The sequence below is a fragment of the Homo sapiens genome, chromosome 4, assembly GCF_000001405.40.
Source record: "Homo sapiens chromosome 4, GRCh38.p14 Primary Assembly".
In the NCBI taxonomy this organism is placed as follows: domain Eukaryota; kingdom Metazoa; phylum Chordata; class Mammalia; order Primates; family Hominidae; genus Homo; species Homo sapiens.
The window spans coordinates 142195601-142216041 of NC_000004.12; the positions used below are offsets into that span (position 1 = coordinate 142195601).

Consider the following 20441-nt stretch of genomic DNA (forward strand, 5'->3'; position numbering starts at 1 on the left):
TCAGTAAAGCTGTTTTTTAAAAAATGTAGACATATATTCCACTAAGCCTAAACTAAATGTATTCTCACTTCAACTTCCCCCAAAACATTGCCTGTAGCCTCTCTAGAACTACCCAATAAGAAGGGAAGGAAAAGGGAGGGGAAATCTGAATAGAGACTGAACTCTGAATTAATGAAAGTTTAAATAACTAACTTTTGCCAAATTTGCAAAAACATTTGACCACAAGCATATTTATAATTCCTTGTAGTGTCTTATACGAGGACTATGCAAGTGGCAGGCCCTGACACTTCAGCTGTTTCAGCTTTACGGTGAATCTGTGTCTTCAATTCATCCATAATTTTAGCATCCTCCAAAGCTACTCTCTGGGAACAGAAACAGTCTCTATTCATCCACCTCACTGCTCATGAGAATTCTAGACATCTATGAAGAAACCGAGACATTTTGAAATAGAAGGTAAAGGAGAAGAAGCATGTTGTTTGAATAGTCTCCTCCTCTCATAAAAAAGAACTGATTGTTTATTGTTAAATCTAAATGAAGGAGTTTGTGTTTTTTTAGAACCATCTATATTATAACTCCTAAAGTTATGAACAAGCTGTTCTGTAAGTTCTGACGTTTTCTTTTCATTCTATTTTCTATTTACGAACTCATCCCTTTTAGTGTTTTCACACCATATTTTTACCAAGGACTATGAAATCTCTTGACTAGTTCTGACCTCTTCCAAACAAAATAATCCAATTCCTAACTGCTTGATGGGCACATCTGAGTGTCAAAGCCTATTAAGCTTAACATATTCTAACGCTTGACCCTAACTGGCTCTTCCTTCCTGATTCCCTGTGACAATTACAGACAACACATTCCTTTAAGCCTCCAAGAGTAGAGTCCTCAAGATCATGTTCGACTCCTCTCCTTCCCTCATCATTATATCTCACCAGTTCTAACAATTCTGTTACAAAAATTTAATTCTTTCTGTTCATGATACTTATCTTTATCTTAGTGCTCACCTTCCCCATTTTCTGTCAGGATGACTACTGCCTCTCAATGTTAGCCTCTCTGCATCCACAATGCAGTAGTTCACTTTTATATGAGTGGCTGGTCGGTTACTCTATCTGAAACACAGCCTTCAGTACTTAATTCCTCCTTATAAATGTTCATAGAAGAACATTAAAACATCTCAAGGCCATATTTAGATCATTTATGACCTGGGTCCAATTCTTCCTTGGTCACATCATCCAGTGTATTATAAGCACCATGAAAGTGAAAATTATTGTAATCCCAGCACTTTGGGAGGCTGAGGAGGGCAGATCACTTGAGGCCAGGAGTTTGAGACCAGGCTGGTCAACATGATGAAACCCCGTCTCTACTAAAAATACAGAAAATTAGCCGGGGGTGGTGGCAGGCACCTGTAATCTCAGCTACTGGGGAGGCTGAGGCAGGAGAATCGCATGAACCTAGGAGGCAGAGGTTGCAGTGAGCCGAGATCGCGCCATTGCACTCCAGCCTGGGCAATAAGAGTGAAACTCCGTCTCAAAAAAAAAAAAAAAAAAAAGAAAGTGAAAATTATTGTAGTCATTCATTTTCAAGAGTATATCCTCAATGCTTGGCACATGGGAGGTACTCCTTATTTATAGCATGATTGCCTGTTGTCCAGTTACAACAGCAATTCCACATTTCTTGAAGTCTTTACATCTTCATCTTTGTGTTCTCTGACTTGGATATTTTTCCATCCTAACCTCCCTCCCATTTCTTTGCCACTGAAATTCCACTGCTCTTTTGCAATCAAACTCAATTACCACCTTCTCTGTGAAATCTTTCTGAATATTCCAGTCAGAATAATAATTTTTATCTATACTTCCACATTGCTTTGTCTTTACCTTGAAGATTTAATTCCTTATGATAGTTTCTATATTCAAATAAAATAATGAATATGGTCATAAAATTGTTACAATTGCTTTAAGACTCATATTCTTCACTGGATATATGTTAATTTGTGGATAAGAATTGTATTTAATAAATAACAACAATGTTAATAATAATGATGGCAACAATATAGTAAGATCACAATAAAAGTTACTAAATGAATGAATAATTATGACAACAGCTGGCATTTACTCAGCGCATACCTGAATCGTTACTTTAGTAGGTACTCTATTTTCAGGATCTCATTTAATTTTCAAAATAATACTATAAGATAAATGTTATTTCCCCAACTTTATAGATAATAAAACAGATTTTCCATGAGATTAAATAATGTGTCTAGTCTTATGCTGGTAAGTTTTGGATCTGATATATTTTCCAAAGTCTGATTCACTAAACAAAAAAACTTATACTGTAAACAACCTTCAACATCTTAGTCACGCTTAGATTTTCCATTAGCTGCAGCAACAATGAGCATATACTGGATGCTCAATAAAGTTGATTTGTGTTCACATTGTAGATGTTTATTTCTAAAATAGAGATTTTTTGTGATCACATCAAAAAGAAGACTAAACATTCATTGTTAATTGTGGTCTCAGAGGGCAAACAAAAGCTTGCAATTTATAAAAATAAAAAAAATGATTAAACTGACCGGACCTATATTATCCTAATCTTTATTCATTCACTAAACAAACACCCACTGAACACACACTATTTTCAAGGGTTACCCTAATTTCCTGTGAATATTTAAAATTAAGGACAGAAAATTTCTGTATTAGAATTGATGTAATTCTTATTTATCAAACATACAGAGGTTTCAGTATGATTTACTACAGCAGCAACTAGGTACATACTTAAATTATAAGCAAAATTAATTTTGATCTTAATTATCTTTCTCATCCTGGTATCATTTCTATTCTTGTTATAGTTTTCATGTGTTCCTTTTTTTAAAAAAAAGAATACTTTTTTCTTAAGCTTTTCTTTTCCAGCGTTCTCCCATGCTTTTTCCCTATTTTTACTTAAAAAAAAAATCCTTCCACAGTCTTCTGTCATATCCACAATTCCCTTTTCTTTCCACTCTGTTCATTTTCTTGTTCTCATTTTTGGCTTCCTTCCCTGAGTTCCCTACAGTATTCCTTTGCTTCAGAGGGTCAATGTCTTATTTATAATTCCTTGAATTACTTATAGTTTGTGAACTATGAATTTATGATTCATATTTGTAACTCAATATAATTCATGGAAAAATATTCTACATATTCTGTTAAGATGTCAGAATATAGAAAGTAAATGACACAATTAATTAAATGACTTTTCTTTAATCCTGTTCCAGTTCTCACACTCTCCTAAGGCTCTTCCCATTACCTAAACTGCCCTTCCCTCCTTCATTTTTCTGTTCTTTACCCTTGTAAATTTCGTACTTAGGCCTAGTTGCTAAGTTAGTTCCTACATAGAGATCTTTGTGTAATGTATCCAGCTAGAAATACTTACTTCTTCCTCTTTCCTATTATAGTCCTAAATTCATATCTTTATCAGAGTATTAGTTTTCGTATCACATAAAATAATTTTGATAGTTAATTTACTTTCTTCTCTAGGCTCACACAATGTAAAATATGGCATTGTGAATTTAATGTCTTTTTCTCCAAACGGAAATCATTGTAATGTTGTAGGTGTTCAACAATGTCGATAAAAAAATAAATATATAAATATTTAGATGCTCAATTCGGTTTGTCTTGTTTGTCATTAGATCATACAGGGAATTAATATTCTTAACTGAGGAATAAAATATTTATATACACTGTCAATAAAAACATTAGAATCTGGCTACACATTCACACACACACAAAGATGCACATGTACACACACATCTCAGGAATATGTGTGTATGTAATATGTATATATATTCTGGATTATAGTTTATAAAAGATCAAAGAGCTTATAACTAAATTGCTATCAATATTTCCATGGAATTTGAATTAACTTTTAATATGCTGTCTAAACAGGAAGGAATATAGAATTCCTTTAAGAAGATGTATTCAGGTTGGTTTTTCCACTCACACATTTTTTCTCTTCTAGGATCCTGCCTTCCATTCAACTGTCAGGTCTTCTCAAGCTCCTCCGATCTATAACAGTTCCTCAGTCTTTCATTGTCTCTCATAATCTTGACATTTTTGAAGAGTACTTATCAGTTACTTTGTAGAATGTTCCTCAGCTTGGGTTTCTCTTATGGTTTGTCATTAGACTTAGGTTGTGCAATATGGAGCAGAACACTACAGAGGTGATGTACCCTTCTCAGAGCATCATATCAGTGTATGTTTCGGTACTACTTTGAGGCTAACCTTGATGCATTGGAGTGCCTGCCACTACTGACAGTTAATTCTCCCCTGGAAAGTTAGTAAAAATCTGGGGGAACATACTTGGAGACTATGCAAATATCCTTTTTCTGCTTAAACTTTTACTCACTAATTTTTGCATTCATTGATGGATCTTGAATTGTTACTGATATATCTGAATAGTAATTTTTTGTTTCATTTCTCTCACATTATTAATTAGAATTCTTCTGAAAGGCATGGTTAACTCTTCTCCTCCATTCATTTACTTATTCAGTCATCTATTAATATTAATATAGACCCATGGGAATTTTTCATTTCGTTAATGACTCAGTAATATCTTTTTGCTGTTCAGGTTGTGCCAACTTTGTGTTTTGGGAGCGCCTTAAGGTTGGCTGTTGTGCCCTTTATGTATACCTATTCTATTAAAAAAAATTTTTTTAGCATGTCATTACTTTCTAGAGCCACAAGATGCTCCAGAATCATCTTGTATTTTCCCTGACCCAGCCCTGCAATCAACCAACTTTCCAATAAACCTTGATCCTTTTCATTAGAGAATAGTGTTTAGAAATCAAGCACTGAGGACTAGTTATGCTCACTGCTACTATGGTGTCACTGCTTTCCCTTTCATTAGCTAGGACTAGAAAATACGTGTCCTATAGTAATTATGTATACATACTTCCATATTTATTTCCTTATCTGCCTCTATTCTTTATTTTTCATTCTTTTTATTATCATTTTTTATAATTTTATTGATCACTTATTATCACTTAAACAACACAATAAAAGTAAGTTAAAAAATAAAGCAGGTTGGGGATAAGAAATTCTAAGACAGACATATTGATAAGCAAGAAAACAATCAGATTTGAAAAACAATAAGCACACTTATGTGTTCTCAAATGTGAAAGTACTAGAGAGCAAAAATAGGGTAAAAGTCCCCAAATATTCTTCAGTTTTGAACTTCATAGAATAAATTTCAAATTGACAAACTCTCACAGCTAGCAGAAGTGTAGCATCTTATCTAAATTCTAGAAAGGCATTTTCAACCTATCATATTCCATTAATATCAAGAGGTCTTCTCCACTAAGACACTAGATATGGTTTATGTCTAGATACTTATAAAGCAAAGTCTCCCTGTCTTTGTATTTCCTCAATTGCATTCTGATTCTAACCACTCCTCAAAAAGCTTGAATCTTTGTGTGCATATTTTATAGAAGTTCAAAGAGTTTGGCTTTAAATAGCATTTTTACACTTCAGGTCTTCAAAAAACTTGTTTTAAGTTTTAAACTTTTAACTTTGATAGCCAAAGAGTGGCTTTGAAGGAAACAATTGGAAAGTAGCTGCTGAATGTTATTCTCAGAACTGACATGAATTTAAGCCAAAGGAAACAGCTTTGTTCTCCAGCTATGGGTATGTTAGGTTTGTCACATGGTCTGAAATAACATTTTGTACAGTTGTGTAATCTTTAACTTTAATTGAGATATTTTCCCTCACATTTAAAACTGGTCACTCAAATTGTTAAAATACCAATACTTTCTATGAAAGTTGCAAATTTATTATCTTAGGTAATCTTCTTAATATTTTGCAGTTGTCATTTCATAATTATCAGCTACCAATATCTCAATGTGAAACAGCATGGTTTATCTCCTTTGGCCCTTTCAGCCTTGAATTTCACTTGTAACTACTACAAAATAGATTGATCTATGTATACCATGTGATTTATTTCCTGGTCTCTTCAGCTGATGAAGAATGGTATACACTTAAAGTACCATGTTCATTCTTAGCTGGGGCAGTTGTATTCCTTTAAATTTAGAATTAACTGCAATTGATTGTTTTCCTCCAAAGAGAAAAAAATGTACAAGAAAAAAAAATAACCTATAAGAAAACAAAATTAAAATTCTAAGGTAACAATACCTATAAGAAAACAAAATTAAAATTCTAAAGTAACAATTTGGTCGGTAAAATCCGTATTATCATTTAAAAAATATTTTTATTGTACCCTGCTCTTTACGATTTTTTGAACAGCTTTTACCATGGCTATATCCTATTCTTTATGTATCTTTGTGATTTGAATAGCCCTTAGCTGTGTAATAAAAGTCTTCAGATTTTTGTTATCAAGAGACAATTAGAAAAATCTAAGTGGGAATATCTTATAGAAAATTTAAGCAAACAAAATACAGTTTTTTTTCTTTTAAATGTGTCTTCCTTTTTGACATTTTATAGTGTCTCAAAAATTGTCTTTGGCTTTGTGAAAATTGCATAGTATCCAAAGTAATAGATAAAAAGTAATAGATAAGTAGAATTTAAGTTGTTGAGTCTTGTCAAACTAAAGACACCAGATTGATTTGAGATTTAATAATAGGGCTGCCTTGTAGCCTTTTAAAAGCCATTTAATAATAGAAATGAGATAATAACTCTATTTTTCCCAGAAGATCTTTCTAAAATTCCTACAACTATAAAATAGTGCTAATGTCAAAAATGAAGACACGCTGACCTCATATCAAGGAACAATTTAAATATAATCCCTGATTTCAAAATGGCATGTAATATGTCTTTGGCAGGAATTGCAAAAGCCTTTAGGGATTTTTAAGGGAAATCTGTGTCAAAATAGTCCAAGCAATTTGACATCGTTATTAAATACATCTAACATAATTATGCTTCACTGATGAGGTGATACTCTCACATTCTTGAGATACAGAAATCAGAGAGCTCTAGAAGCTCCTCTCTTCTGCTCCTTCCTTCTATGTAGAGATTATAAAATGAAAGGCCAAAGAGGTTAGCTGACTCCTCCATAGTTAACACAGTAAATTTTGGCTACTGTTGGACCTGATTTCACCTACAGCTTTATGATATAAACTCATTTTTTAAAACATATATTAGTTAAGCTTCTTTTCATACCAATTTGCGGAATCCCACTTGAGATATCTGAAAAACAACAAACAAAAACAATGAGAGTGGGCGGGGCCGTGCTTGACAGGTGTGTTTCACTCATGCAAACTAAGGGCAAGCCCATTCATTCCCTGTGGGCTCAAATCAGGAACTGAAAAGCCATGAGAGACTATCTCTGCCTTTCCTCTCTTTTTGTGGTCTCCTTTATTACTGTATGTCTGATTTTTCTTCCCCACGGAAAAGATGAGCACTTTTTGGTTCTCTAGAACACAATTAGAGTTAAATTCAGAAGGAGAGATTGTCTCTGAATCCCCAAAGAGAATCCACGAGTGAAACTCCATTGATTCAGCTTGGGTGAAGTGATCACCCCAGACCCTCTTTTTATTTTTTTGCACATGCTGTGTCAGGCACTGTGATCACTCAAGCAGCTATATCTAAAGGGACCAGGCTCACAAAGTAAAACCATAGCTATATAGCTAATATTTACAAAACACTCATGCTTAGAGTTAGCTATACATTAATAATGCAGTTATATAAAGAAGGCTTTTAGTACTATAGATTACAACAGATCCATAAACTATGTCTGCTGTGAAACAAAATAGTTGCTTTAGTTTGAATTCATTAAATTTTATAGCAAAATATAATACTTTTCTATTGTATATCTATAGCATATAAAATAAAACAGAATATTACATTACAAGAATTTATATTCCATAATATTCACAACTGATGTGCTGTGAAAATAAAATTTATTAAAGTATATTAGTATAAAAACTTTTGTTTTGAATTTTGGGGTTTATGTTTCATTCTTGTCACTGCTGGCTAAGATCTATTGTGGTGAGTATTCTACTTGTTGCATTTAGTTTAAGTAATGAATAAGGATGAAAAACTTAACTTAATGAGTTTCAGGGCACCCTAAGTTAACTGCAGGTTATTCCATTTGTCAGTATGAGACATGACAACATTAGTTCTGCTCAGTTACTTATTTCAAGAGCTACATATTAGCCTTGTATCTGGTGACTCTGCCAGCTATTGTTTGCAAAGCTTCCTCTCCAAATATAGCAGGCTTATTAATCAAATGTGAATAGACACAATTTACTAATGGTAAAGATGAAAAAAAAAATTAGACCACATCCAAATAACTTGCCAGTAAAATGCCAAGGCTTAGCCCATCTTACTTGCATTATTACCTTGCAATAATAATTCAGCTAAACATTCAAATCAGTAGCCACAAAACTTAAATAAATTTAACTGCAATCCAAAATCTGTTAAATACATGTTATAAAAGAAAGTAGAAAAATTTGATTCACTACCACCTATGACAACTTTTAACGTTTTCATTTTGCAAATAATAAAATGACACTCAGAGAGGTCAAATAACATGGTTAAAGTCAAAGTAGTAAGTGGTAAGGACCCAAAATTTCAATGGAGTTTTCAACCTGTATTATAACATGTAGTTGGTGACCTAGTCTACATAACAGCTACTTAATCTGAACTCCAGTTTCAAATAATAACTTTTAATATTACATATTTTTAAAACATAAGCTTGATAATTTAGCATGCTGTTATATATGCAATACAATTCAGTACTTTTCCCATTAATGTGGCTCTTAGGATATCTAGCCTTTTCCCATATTTTCTTCTTAGCTCTTCAAAGACCAGAACCAGTCTTTCTGCTAACTGCTTTGTCAAAAATCTTCTAGTTTCTGGGTTGTACCCTAATCTGTAACATTAAATTTTTTTTTTCTGTATTGCTTGATATTTGTCATTACAAGTAAGAATTTCCTTTCTAAATCCTGTTGTGGGTTTACTTGTACCTCGCAAGAAAGATACCTCAGAATGTGACTTTATTTGGAAATAAGTTCTTTACAGATATAATCCACTTGAAATAAAGCCATTAGGATGGATCTTAATCCTATATAACTGTTGTCCTTAAAGGGGATATTTGGATACAGAAACAGACATACATAGAGGGCAGGAGAACACCATGAGCAAGATAGAGGACAGGTGTGTTACATTAGCAGGCCAATGATTGCCAGCAAACCAGCAGATACCAGGAAGGGACGAGGAAGGATTACTCCATAGGTTTAAGGGGAAGCATGGCCCTGATGACATTTTGATTTCAGACTTCCAGCCCCCAGAATTGTGAAAAAAATAAGTTTGGCTATTTTAGCAACCCAGTTTGTGGTGCTTTGTTATAGTAGCCCTAGAAAACCAATACATATCCCAAACCAAACAAGTTAGAAAATGCTTGCACGTGTAAACACACAGACACACACACACCCCTTTTGTTGCTTTTCTAAATTTCTTTCTTTTAGTTGGCAGATTGTTTCTTTCAAATCAGAGAATCAGAAACTAAACATATTGTCCTCATCCTATTTTACTCTATTTTTCAGATGGTACCTTGGAAAACAGCATAGTACATGGTTCTTTCATTTTCAAGAAAGAAATATGAAATAAAATGCCACTTTGGTCATAGTTTCTCTTTGTTTGGTGGAAGTATTTTAAGGTTAATCAACAAACATTTGAATACATAATTAAATATGAATTCATATGTATGTGGCCCCAAACAAATCTATCTGGTTTGATGACACTGTCATCTACCCATGGCTGTAAAGCAAATTATCCTTTTCCCTCCTTGCCTTATTCCATCAGTCAGTAAGTATTTGCATGTGATGATTTCTTCAAAATGCATCTTTAAGTCATCTTTAATCTAAACCTGGCTATTTCCTTAGTTCAAGACTTCGTTGATTTTTAATAGGCTCTTACTTGATCAATTTTCTCCAATTTCATCAGCTCTGATAAAACAGATCCATTTTGTTCCAGTGATGGAAAATGCCACATGTATAATAAAGCTACCATTATTTTATCATTCTATGTGTTTTACATACCCTAACTCAATCAGGAATGAGAATGAAATTGCTTAGAAAGATTAAATAGCAGACTCAGCTCATGTAAAAAGCGGTAGTGCTACAATTCAAGCCCAGGGCTGTTACACTCTAAAATAATATAAACATTTTACTGCATCATAAAAGGCTTTTCATTTTGCCTATTAGAATAACATTATGTTGATTGTCAGATAGTTCTTAAGTATTTTAGCTTCTTTAATACTTGTAACACTTTGTTTCTGGTTATTTTAAAAATCATTACCTACTGTTCTATTCAAGCTATTGACAGACACTCAGTAATCAAGGAAGAACTACTGTCTTACTCCATTTTGTGCTGCTATAACATAATATTATGGATTGAGTAACTTATAAAAAAATATAAATTATTCTCTAACAGTTCCGGAGGCTAGGAAGTCTAAGATCAAGGCGCTGGTATCTGATAACAGCCTTCTGCTGTGCTTTTACATGGTAGAAGGTGGAAAAGCAAGAGAAGAAATTTTATGAATTTACAAGGCAAAAGAGCTAAAGAGGGTAAACTTGCTCCTGAAAGCTCTTTTTATCATGGCATTAATTCACTCATAAGTGTAGAGTTCTCTTGATCCAAATGCCTCCCCTTAGGTCTCACCTCCCAACATTGTTGCACTGGGGATTAAGTTTCTAACACGTGAATTTTGGGAGACACATTCAGGCCACAGCAGCTTCTAAATGCCTTGGGCCCATCCATCTCTCTCTCTCTCTTTTTTTTTTTTTTTTCAGTTCTTTCACTTGACATAGTTCGTAGTGAATAAGACCTAAATTAAAATTTCATATACTTGATCACCAAATATAATAACATAATACATCAGAATAAGTATAATCACATTTAAACTTGCAAATCAGCTGGTGGTATATATATATGATTGGTATGCAAACACTAGAAAACAATAAAGTTTAATTTTTCAGATTATGAAGTTTCAGACAATTCTAAAGCAGAACTGAGATCTCACTTTCACATTTTAACCACATTATTGAGGTATGATTGACATATAAAAAGCTATATATATGTATACAACTTGATGACGTTGGACATAAATATATACTCTTTAAACCATTACCACGACTTATGCCATAAGCCTATCCATCATCTCCAAAAGTTTCGTCTTACTCTCTTTAATATTACTATTATTATTAACGTGTATGTGTATAAGAACACTTAACAAAAGATCTACCCCCTCAGCAATTTTTTAAGTACACAATATAGTACTGTGAACTATAGACACTACACTGTACAGTAGCTCTCTAGGACTTATTCATTTTGCATAACTGCGACTGTGTACCTTTGACTAATACCTCCTTTTTTCAACCTCCCGAAGCCCCTGGAAACCACCATTATACTCCCTGCTTCTATGAGTTTGACTATTTTAGATTCCTCATATAAGTAATATTATGTAGTATTTGTCCCTCTGTATCCTGGCTTATTTCACTTAGCATAATATCCTCCAGGTTCATCCATGTTGTCTCAAATGGCAGGATTTTCTTCTTTATAAGGCTGAATAATAATCCAATCTTTGTACATAACACAATTTATCTTTTCACCCATTGATGGACATTTCTCTGTCTTGGCTACGGTGAACAATGCTGCAATGAATGTGGGAGTGCAAACATCTCTTTGAGATCCTGATTTCAATTATTTTGGATAAACACCCGGATGTGTGAATGTTGGACCCTATCGTAGCTTTACTTTTAGTTTTTTTAGGAACCTCCATATTTGTTTTTACCATAGTGGCTATACCAGTTTACATTTTCACTAACGGTGTACAATTGCTCTTGTGTTTTAACCTTTCTAAACCTGTAACTACTATGTTGTGACAAGGGCTACAAAACAGAGTGTCAGAATGAGAATTTAGATGTCTCTGTAAGTATGTTTGTATGCATTTTCATGTACTTACCCTAAAGAATTTGATAACTTCAGGCCCCCTAAAAGATGGGTATTAGTAGGATGACCACAGCATTAGTCGTTTACACGGGGAGACTTTTAAGAAGGAAAGGAAGCGAGGGTATCATTAATGGGCACAGGCATATGGAGGACAGGGACATAATCTAGGACTTTTGCCAGCAAACCAGGGCATATAGTCATCCTAAATTTGCATAATTGCTATAGCAATAAGTTCATGAAAAAGCGAGATGAAAAGACATTGGAAAACACTTTTTTGATAAATGGCAAGAGATTATGTAGAATGGTAGTAAATATGACACCATATTGGTCACTCTGGACCACTTTCAGGTACATTCAGAAAAACCTATATATTTCTCTTTGACAAATATTTCTTACAACTGAGTACATTTAAATACTCTACCACCTTCTACCTTACTATACTCACTTTTTCCCATAAAAAAGGGAGTTTCTATTGATAGTTATCAGTAAGTCAAAAAAAAACCTGGCATATTAGTCCACTTTGGGGCTTTGGTTTCTCAAGACAGGAAAAATATGAACAAATTTTGTTTTTTATTTATTTTTTTCTAATTCAAATGAGCTTAAATGTTAACTATTAGCCACCGTTAATATTACTTAAGGGTGCTATTACTCAGTTTGCATTTTCATCTCTACCTCAATCCAGGTGAAACATTCATAAAGTATTTCTCAAAAATACAGCAACAAAAATATCATAGTCTCTTTAACAGAATTTAGGGTCATTATGAGGTTCAACTGTTTCATTTTCAACTTTATATAATTGTTAAACTTTTGAATTCTGCCAATAGTCAAGCTGTTTACAGAAGTACACACTGTAACATAATTTGCTATTTTTAAAAGAATAATTTATGATACCTTTCAAGTGAGGGCTGTGTACCTGCATTCTTTGCAGATGTAGATTTATTGGAACAAATTCTAATGTTTTCTCTCCTTTGCTGCTGCTTGATTTGAAAGAGGACCCTGATGGAAACCAGAAATTAAACATTATTAGTAAATAATGATAAATTAATATGTGTGTTAAAAGATAAATTTGACAGAAAAATGTTAAAATAACTTCAGAAAGAAAAACATATCCTATATTTATGAGTTGCTTTTCTTTTACAAATTCAATATTTTTAAAAATTGTCTCAATTATTCATATAATAATTCTGTAAGGTAAAATAGGGTAGTTTTTTCTTTGTTTTAAGATGTTAAAGTTAGAAATAAAAGAGTTTTAAAAAATCTCCAGTTCTCCTATCTACATAAAATCTATTTATTATTTTTTTTTTCATTTCACATGCAGGAAATGCAATTCACTTTGAGTAAGTAGAGAAATTGCTTCCACACCTGTTTCCTTGCTAAGTTCTGTCAGAATGTCTTGGTACATATTCACCATTTGATCACAGTGAGTAAGGACATTTTTTCGCAGATTGTCCCAATGTGGAGAAAGCTCACCAAGTTCTTTTATCTCCTGGTTTCTGTTAAGAGTGGAAGAGAAGAGAAACTTTATTTTTATCTTAAATCCATAAACGCATAACCCTTAGTCAGAGTTGTCAAGATAATAAGAAATTATTTCATCCTAATTCCCAGGAAAGTTCTATGAGCTTATTAGCTTAAATATTTTTTAAAAATTATTTTAGCACAAAAAAATATGAATAGCTTAACCACACAAATAAAAACATTATGTCAAAGGGCAAAAAATTAGAAATGTTAAATTCCCTGATAAATTTTTCACAAAGATGGCAGACTTCCTATTCTTATATACATAGGGAAGACATTTAGTTAAAAAGCAAATTGTAAAACCTCTATGTAAAGATGGCTAAGTTTTTAAGTTTCAACTGTACAAAATCAAAGAATGTGGAAAGGGCTACCTGACCATGTTGGAAGCAAACATGAGATACTTAGTCAATTCAGTTTATATATAATATAGTTACAAATATTTTTTTAAAAAAACAAAAGCCCGGCCGGGCACGGTGGCTCACGCCTGTAATCCCAGCACTTTGGGAAGCCAAGGTGGGTGGATCAGCTGAGGTCAGGAGTTCAAGACCAGCCTGGCCAACATGGTGAAACCCCATCTCTACTAAAAATACAAAACTTAGCCAGGTGTGGTGGTGCGTGCCTGTAGTCCCAACTACTCAGGAGGCTGAGGCAGGAGAATCACTTGAACTCAGGAGGTGGAAGTTGCAGTGAGCCAAGATTGTGCCACTGCACTCCAGCCTGGGTGACAGAGTAAGACCCCGTCTCAAAAAAAAAAAAAAAAAAAAAAAAAGCCCAGATAATAAATAAATGGTATTGTCACGTATGGTTTTATTGGCTTCAGTTTCTGCCAAAAGGACAATGTATGAAACTACTGTATGTGTATGCGTTGCTCCCTCTTTATCAAAAAGAAGAGCTAACCATGTCATTTAGGCTTCAATTATTAACTTTTATCTAAATCTCTACCCTTTAGCCAAGTTAATTTAAATCATCAGAATGCCTTTTTAAAACTATAGTGATAAATGGTCCAATATGCTGCTTGGTTAGATCTCTTATTCATTTCTGTAACCTTTTACCAACAACATTTTCATGAGGCTAATTTAACCAGTAATAATGAAGCTTCTTTGCTATTTTGGCCATGAAACATGCTAAATACCAAGCTAATAAATTCACGAGCTGTAGAATCTTTAACATTCTGTTAAATGCAAGAATAATGGATGGTGTGCAAAAATGTGACTTGCTTTCAAATGGTTGTAGCTGTCTTTGTTTTGTTCCAATGGGATTGCAATTTAGAACTGCTGCAATTTTCATCTGAGGTCTTTATAATTTTTGTGAACATTCATCTCACTCTCAACTTTTCCAAAGATTAGTATTCATGATGAAACACTCATGGGAGAAAAAGTAATTAATCAATAAATAATAGAGTAAAGAAAAAAAAATCATGACCAAAAGAGAGACAAAGAGAAGGTAGAAGATTGGGGAGTTGAATTCTGTTTGCACTCAAATGGCAGGATGTACAAGTTCAGGAAAAAAGCAACAACCACTAAAGCAAACAAGTAATTCCAAAAGATTGATATATCCAAGTCTAGAAGAATCTGAGCAATTAGGTTGAATCTGAGATATACAGCAAGTATAATATATCAACTTAATATGCAAAGTTTCAGCTTTGCTTTCAGTATACAGTTATAATGAAAATATTAGCTAACAATTTTTATTTAGTACTAATAGATGCACCATACAGTTACAATTTATATTATCTCTAAATTATTATCAGAAAGAATAAGTAAAGGGGGGATGACGAGGAAGGTAGAAGAGTGATAGTGAAGCCCCTGACCACATTCTGGGATACTGGGGGTGGTGTACATTTCCTTGCCTAAGATAAGTTTGGCAAAATGTAATCAGAAAAGTTTAGTATTCTGTGAGGAGTATCTTGATACAAGCTGTGAGGACTCCATAACTTTTGTTTAAAATGTATTGCACTCTTCCATTATGCCACAATTTATACAGAGAAGTATACTGATGAACCTGTTTGTTCTAAGAGATGACAGTAAAAAAGGTACGCATTCTGAAAAGGACAAACAACTATCATACTGTCTCTCCACATTGAGAAAAGTTCCAATATAGGGGAACTATATGATAAAAGTGTAATAAACCAGACACAGTAATGAAAACATTGCAAAACAAAATGGGGCAGAGTAAGAGAGTCACTGCATTTTTTAAAAAGGAAAGAAATTAATAAGCACATTAATTTCATTAAAGTAAAGAAGAGGTACATTCATACATTAAAATAGATGAGGATAGAAGATAACTTGGTTCATGAAAATTGGTAAACTTTCCAATCAGGAAGCCTAGGGCTATTTATTCATAATGACATTTTCATTTGTCACTCAATGGTCAAAAAACCTCCTAGATTAAAACCTTTCCTTGGCATCTCAATTCAGATTCTCTAGGAGCACAGCCTGAGATCAAGCAATGCTAGGACAACCACAAGGAAGTAAAAAAATAAGTGATACAGGGAAGAGAAGAAAGCAGCCACAAGGTGGTACATGACTGAGCTGGGGAGAACTTCACAAGAAAACATAGCTGGTTATTTGGTCATGTGAAACAAATCTAAAGAAGTCATCTGGAAACTTTGTACCTTGGAATAGTTAGTCAGAGGGACATTTATATGTCAGTTGCTTGCCATACTCTATGTTTCATCGATAAAGAGTCATCCTACAGGTTATTAAGTCCTCTGCCTTTATGATTTTATAATCTGCCCCTTTGTGTAGCCACTGGAGAAACAATACTCTAATGGAGATAGAACTTTCCTGGGTGTGTCCCTATCTCACAGTTGCCAAAACTACTGTGAATCCTTCCATGGCAGTTGCTACTGGGGATATGCTAATGCCTGGTCTTCACCTTGAGAGAGGCTGATATAGTTAATGGTGTTAAGAGATAAGGTGACAGTGGTGGCAATACCTGAGGCTCACCATTGAGCAAGTGGTCAAAAATGTGAAGACATGTTAGGATTATAAGGATTTAATCCTTAGGATTAGGATTTAGCCAATGTAGAAAAGCACACAAACTGGGCCCAGGACAGACAACCCCGTGTACAACTCAGATGTACTTGTACCATCTGAGTTGATAACCCGATAGCATACAAAACAAGATCCCTCACATCTTTCCCAAGAGGAGAGTTTAAGTACAGTCCTTTAGAGTGATGGCAATGTGCGATTCCCCAGAGATTTAAAAGAGCAGTAATAAATCCAGCCACAATATGCAATCCTCCAACTAGTCCCTGAGGCCTTAATTGATATTCATCACCTATCTCCTTTACCATTAATCCCAGATTTTCCGCCATACTCTACCAGCATTTCAGCTGGTCTGAGTTGCTGCTGGGTGTTGCAGACCTAAATCCTGATGAATTAAGCCCTTAGTTTTCTTGCTTCTATGGAGTCTTGCTTGCTGCAATTTCTCCTTCCCATCAGGGCGTGGAGTACTTCTAAGTTTCAGACGTATTTTTCCTTGCTCAGATTTTGTGGCAGTAGCCCTATCTCCTCATGGTGGTGAGCATGGATATCTCACACCATCTTTTTTGGTCTATTGTCATGAGGAACACACAGTAACCAGATCACAGATAGAACCAATCACAGCTTCCACTTAAGTGGGATTCTAATTGTGTCCCCTGACAGAACAGCACTGCTCCCCTGACTCCACCACAAGAACCAGGATTCTAACTGGCAAAGTATAAGGTTGTAGGGAAAGGTAGTGCAAATACCACAAGTGGATCACTGCTACTGATTATAGGAAGGGCCTACCCTTAGTCCCAGAACTGTTGAGTCCTGGGTATGATAAATATAGCATCCTACATCAGTGATTGGTTTGGCATATTTCCCAATCCTAGAAGGCAGTACCTCAATTCTAAGGTTTTTCCTCATGCTGGTGTTTTGGCTGAACTTTTCATGATTAATATTATTCCACTGTACCATCAGGCCTATGGCTGTTGTGTGCTGAAACACATTATGACTATAAGCTCACTGTTGTGCCTTCTTTGATACAGCAGCAAATGTCCCTTAGTAGAAGCAATATTATGTGGGGCACCATATCATTGGATTAGGCATTCTTAGGCTATCGGATGTGGATGCCAGTGAAGGCACTGTGAGAGGAAATGCAAACACATATCTAGACCATAATTCACCCACTTAGGACAAATTGCTGCCCACTCCAAAGTGGAGAGGATGCAACTTAATTTGCCTGCCACCCAACAGGTGTTGGGTCTCTATCGTACCCCGGAGGAATGGTACCATCTCAGTGGCTCATTGTCAGTCTGTTTCTGGCATTTAATAGTTAGAAGTGACAATAGCTATATTAGCTTTGGAAAGGGAGGCCATGTCCTGGGTCCATGCATATTCCCTGCCTCTGTCACTAAGATCTAGGTCCAACCACAATAGATCATTCTCTTCATGGGTCTATTGCACAAACCCTGGAGTAACTGAGAAAGGAGGCTGGCTAATATCCACTGGACACGTGACAATGTCCACCTGGTAGTAGAAAGCTTCCTCTGCAGTATTTTATGTCTGATAGGCGTGATTTTGATTGTGCTCACTCCTACAACCCCATTCACATGTCTCTTGCTCGTATTCCTTGTATTTTATTTTCTAGTCTTACTTCTTTCAGGCCCATCAGATTATTAGCTCTGCCAATGCTTAACATACATATGCACCTCAGGTTACCTCCTTCTCTACATGAAGCGAATACCAAGTAAACGGTTTGCTGATCTTCCCACTGGGTATTTCCTTCATTATTGACCTTGAAGTCCACCCAACATGTCAGGCTGACCCATTTTTATACCAGTGCAAGTTCTTTCCTCCTCCGTGAGTGAGTCACAGGGAACTCTCGAGGGTGCGAGTTGAGAAAGAACCATCGGTGCAGTAGGACAGATGATAGAAGACTCTGGGACACCTCTTCATGATATATGGTCATACATTGTGGATCTGCTTGAGCCCAAATGTATGGAGCCAATGGATCCAATGTTCCAAATTTATCACTCTTATGTAACAATACATTATTTCTATGCCATACAGTGGGGTAAATCAATACCAAGTTCTCAATGGGCAGCTCTAGTCACAGAGTCCCTTTGTGTCCCATCATCAAGGGTTCAGTCTCTACTAAAGCCCAGTATTACAACAGGAGCTATTTTTCAAATGAGAAGTGGCTACCTGAGGCAGGAAGCACTAGTACATTCTAGAACTCTAAAGGTCTGTACTGACACTTTCCTATTTGCTTTTCCTAAAGATTCCACATAGCAGAGTTGTTTCTCACCACAGACACTTTCAGCCCCATTGGCTCTCCTTGGTAACCCCAGGATTTGTAATACAGTCTGGATCTTCTGAGATGTCCTTCTTGAACGGGCCCCACTTGTCACATTCTGCTGTTTAACTCAATGTTTTAACATACATTTATAAAGGGGTTGATTAGCGGCTGGTTAAGCACTAGACAAAAGGTCTTAATGATAGGTGAATCATAAATATAGTTCAAAGCACGTCAATTCTTTTTTCTTTTTTGAGATGGAGTCTCGCTCTGCCGCCCAGGCTGAAATACGGTGGTGTGATCTCAGCTCACTGCAACCTCCACCTCCCTGGTTCCAGTGATTCTCCTGCCTCAGCCTACCATGTAGCTGGGACTACAGGCGCCTGCCATCACGCCTGGCTAATCTTCGTATTTTTAGTAGAGATGGGGTTTCACCGTGTTAGTCAGGCTGGACTCGAACTCCTGACCTCAGGTGATCCACCCGTCTCAGCCTCCCAAAGTGCTGGGATTGCAGGCGTGAGCCACTGCGCCCGACCCAGCACATTAATTGTTTATTTGTATAGATGAAAAAAGACCTTTATTGTGTATGTACACATATGTGTTATATTACTTATTTTCCTCATTATTTGTCATCGTACCACAATATGTTAGAGGTGTAGCAACCAGATATGCCAGTTTACACCTGTTATTCCACTGTAATTATTAATACCTACTTTTATTCTCAAAAAATTTATACTAGATTGTCTAAGTTATAGGATATCAGAGTTCATATAAGATTCATAAACTCCCAGGATGCTACGGTTGGAAGGAAGCTCAGAGAATAACCTGAAACCTCTTGTTTCACAGATGGAGAAGCTAAGGTAAAAACTGCTTGTTTATCTCAGAGTCACTAGAATACCATAAAGCTTTTAGACTGTAATCCCCAAACCCACTGTTCCCTTACCTCATATTATTCTCTACTGCACAACAAAGAAACACAAGACAAACAGCAACAAAAATAAAAACAAACAGCAAACAAACAGAGTGTACTTAATGAATGTAGGTTGTGAGTGGGATTTGGAACCTGGGCAGTTGATTTACAGAATTACATTTGTAAACGTTCACGTGCTTTAAAAACTAAACCTGAACAAAAGATAAATTATTATTTGGGATTTTTAACTCCTGGATATTTTAGTTTGAATGGCATGCCTACCAGTTACTACAGGATAACTGAAATTTTCTAAAACATATTCAAGAGCATAATGGTGTCCAGCATTATAAGACCCAAAGATAACAGCACCCTGTGGTCCAGTCTCTGCATGTTGCTTCATTGATATAAGAAGCAACCTGCACTTTGGGAGGCCGAGGCGGGCAGATCACGAGGTCAGGAGATTGAGACCATCCTGGCTAACATGGTGAATCCTCGTCTCTACTAAAAATACAAAAAATTAGCCAGGTGTGGTGGTGGGCGCCTGTAGTCCCAGCTACTCGGGAGGCTGAGGCGGGAGAATGGTGTGAACCCAGGAGGCGGAGCTTGCAGTGAGCTGAGATTGTGCCACTACACTCCAGCCTGGGCAACAGACCAAGACTCTGTCTCAAAAAAAAAAAAAAAAAAAAAAAAAAAAAAAAAAAAAAAAAGAAGGAATCTGACACTAATGTTGTAATTAAATAGTTGCATACCATTACAAAGCCTTTGGCATGGGTAGCAAAGGAGATTAGCTACATAAATGCTTTTTTAAATTCATA

At 35.3% G+C, this 20441-nt stretch overlaps 1 protein-coding gene across 64 annotated transcripts in view; it reads right to left on the minus strand.

Annotated features, from left to right (window-relative positions):
- INPP4B (inositol polyphosphate-4-phosphatase type II B) overlaps positions 1 to 20441 on the minus strand; it is an 823376-nt gene that overhangs the window by 172441 nt on the left and 630494 nt on the right. For 49 of the 64 annotated variants that reach the window (NR_169617.1, NR_169615.1, NR_169599.1 and 46 more), the window contains 2 exons: positions 13296 to 13426; positions 12825 to 12929 (listed from right to left, as the gene is read on the minus strand). Coding sequence is in view for 54 of the 64 variants with exons in the window: in NM_003866.3 (NP_003857.2) it covers positions 12825 to 12929; positions 13296 to 13426 (236 nt within the window). In the remaining 10 variants the exon portion in view is untranslated. Of the gene's footprint in view, positions 1 to 1400; positions 1524 to 7139; positions 7167 to 12824; positions 12930 to 13295; positions 13427 to 20441 lie in introns of all 64 variants that reach the window. The other 15 variants (XR_007057981.1, NM_001385339.1, XM_047416360.1 and 12 more) reach the window with 3 other exon arrangements.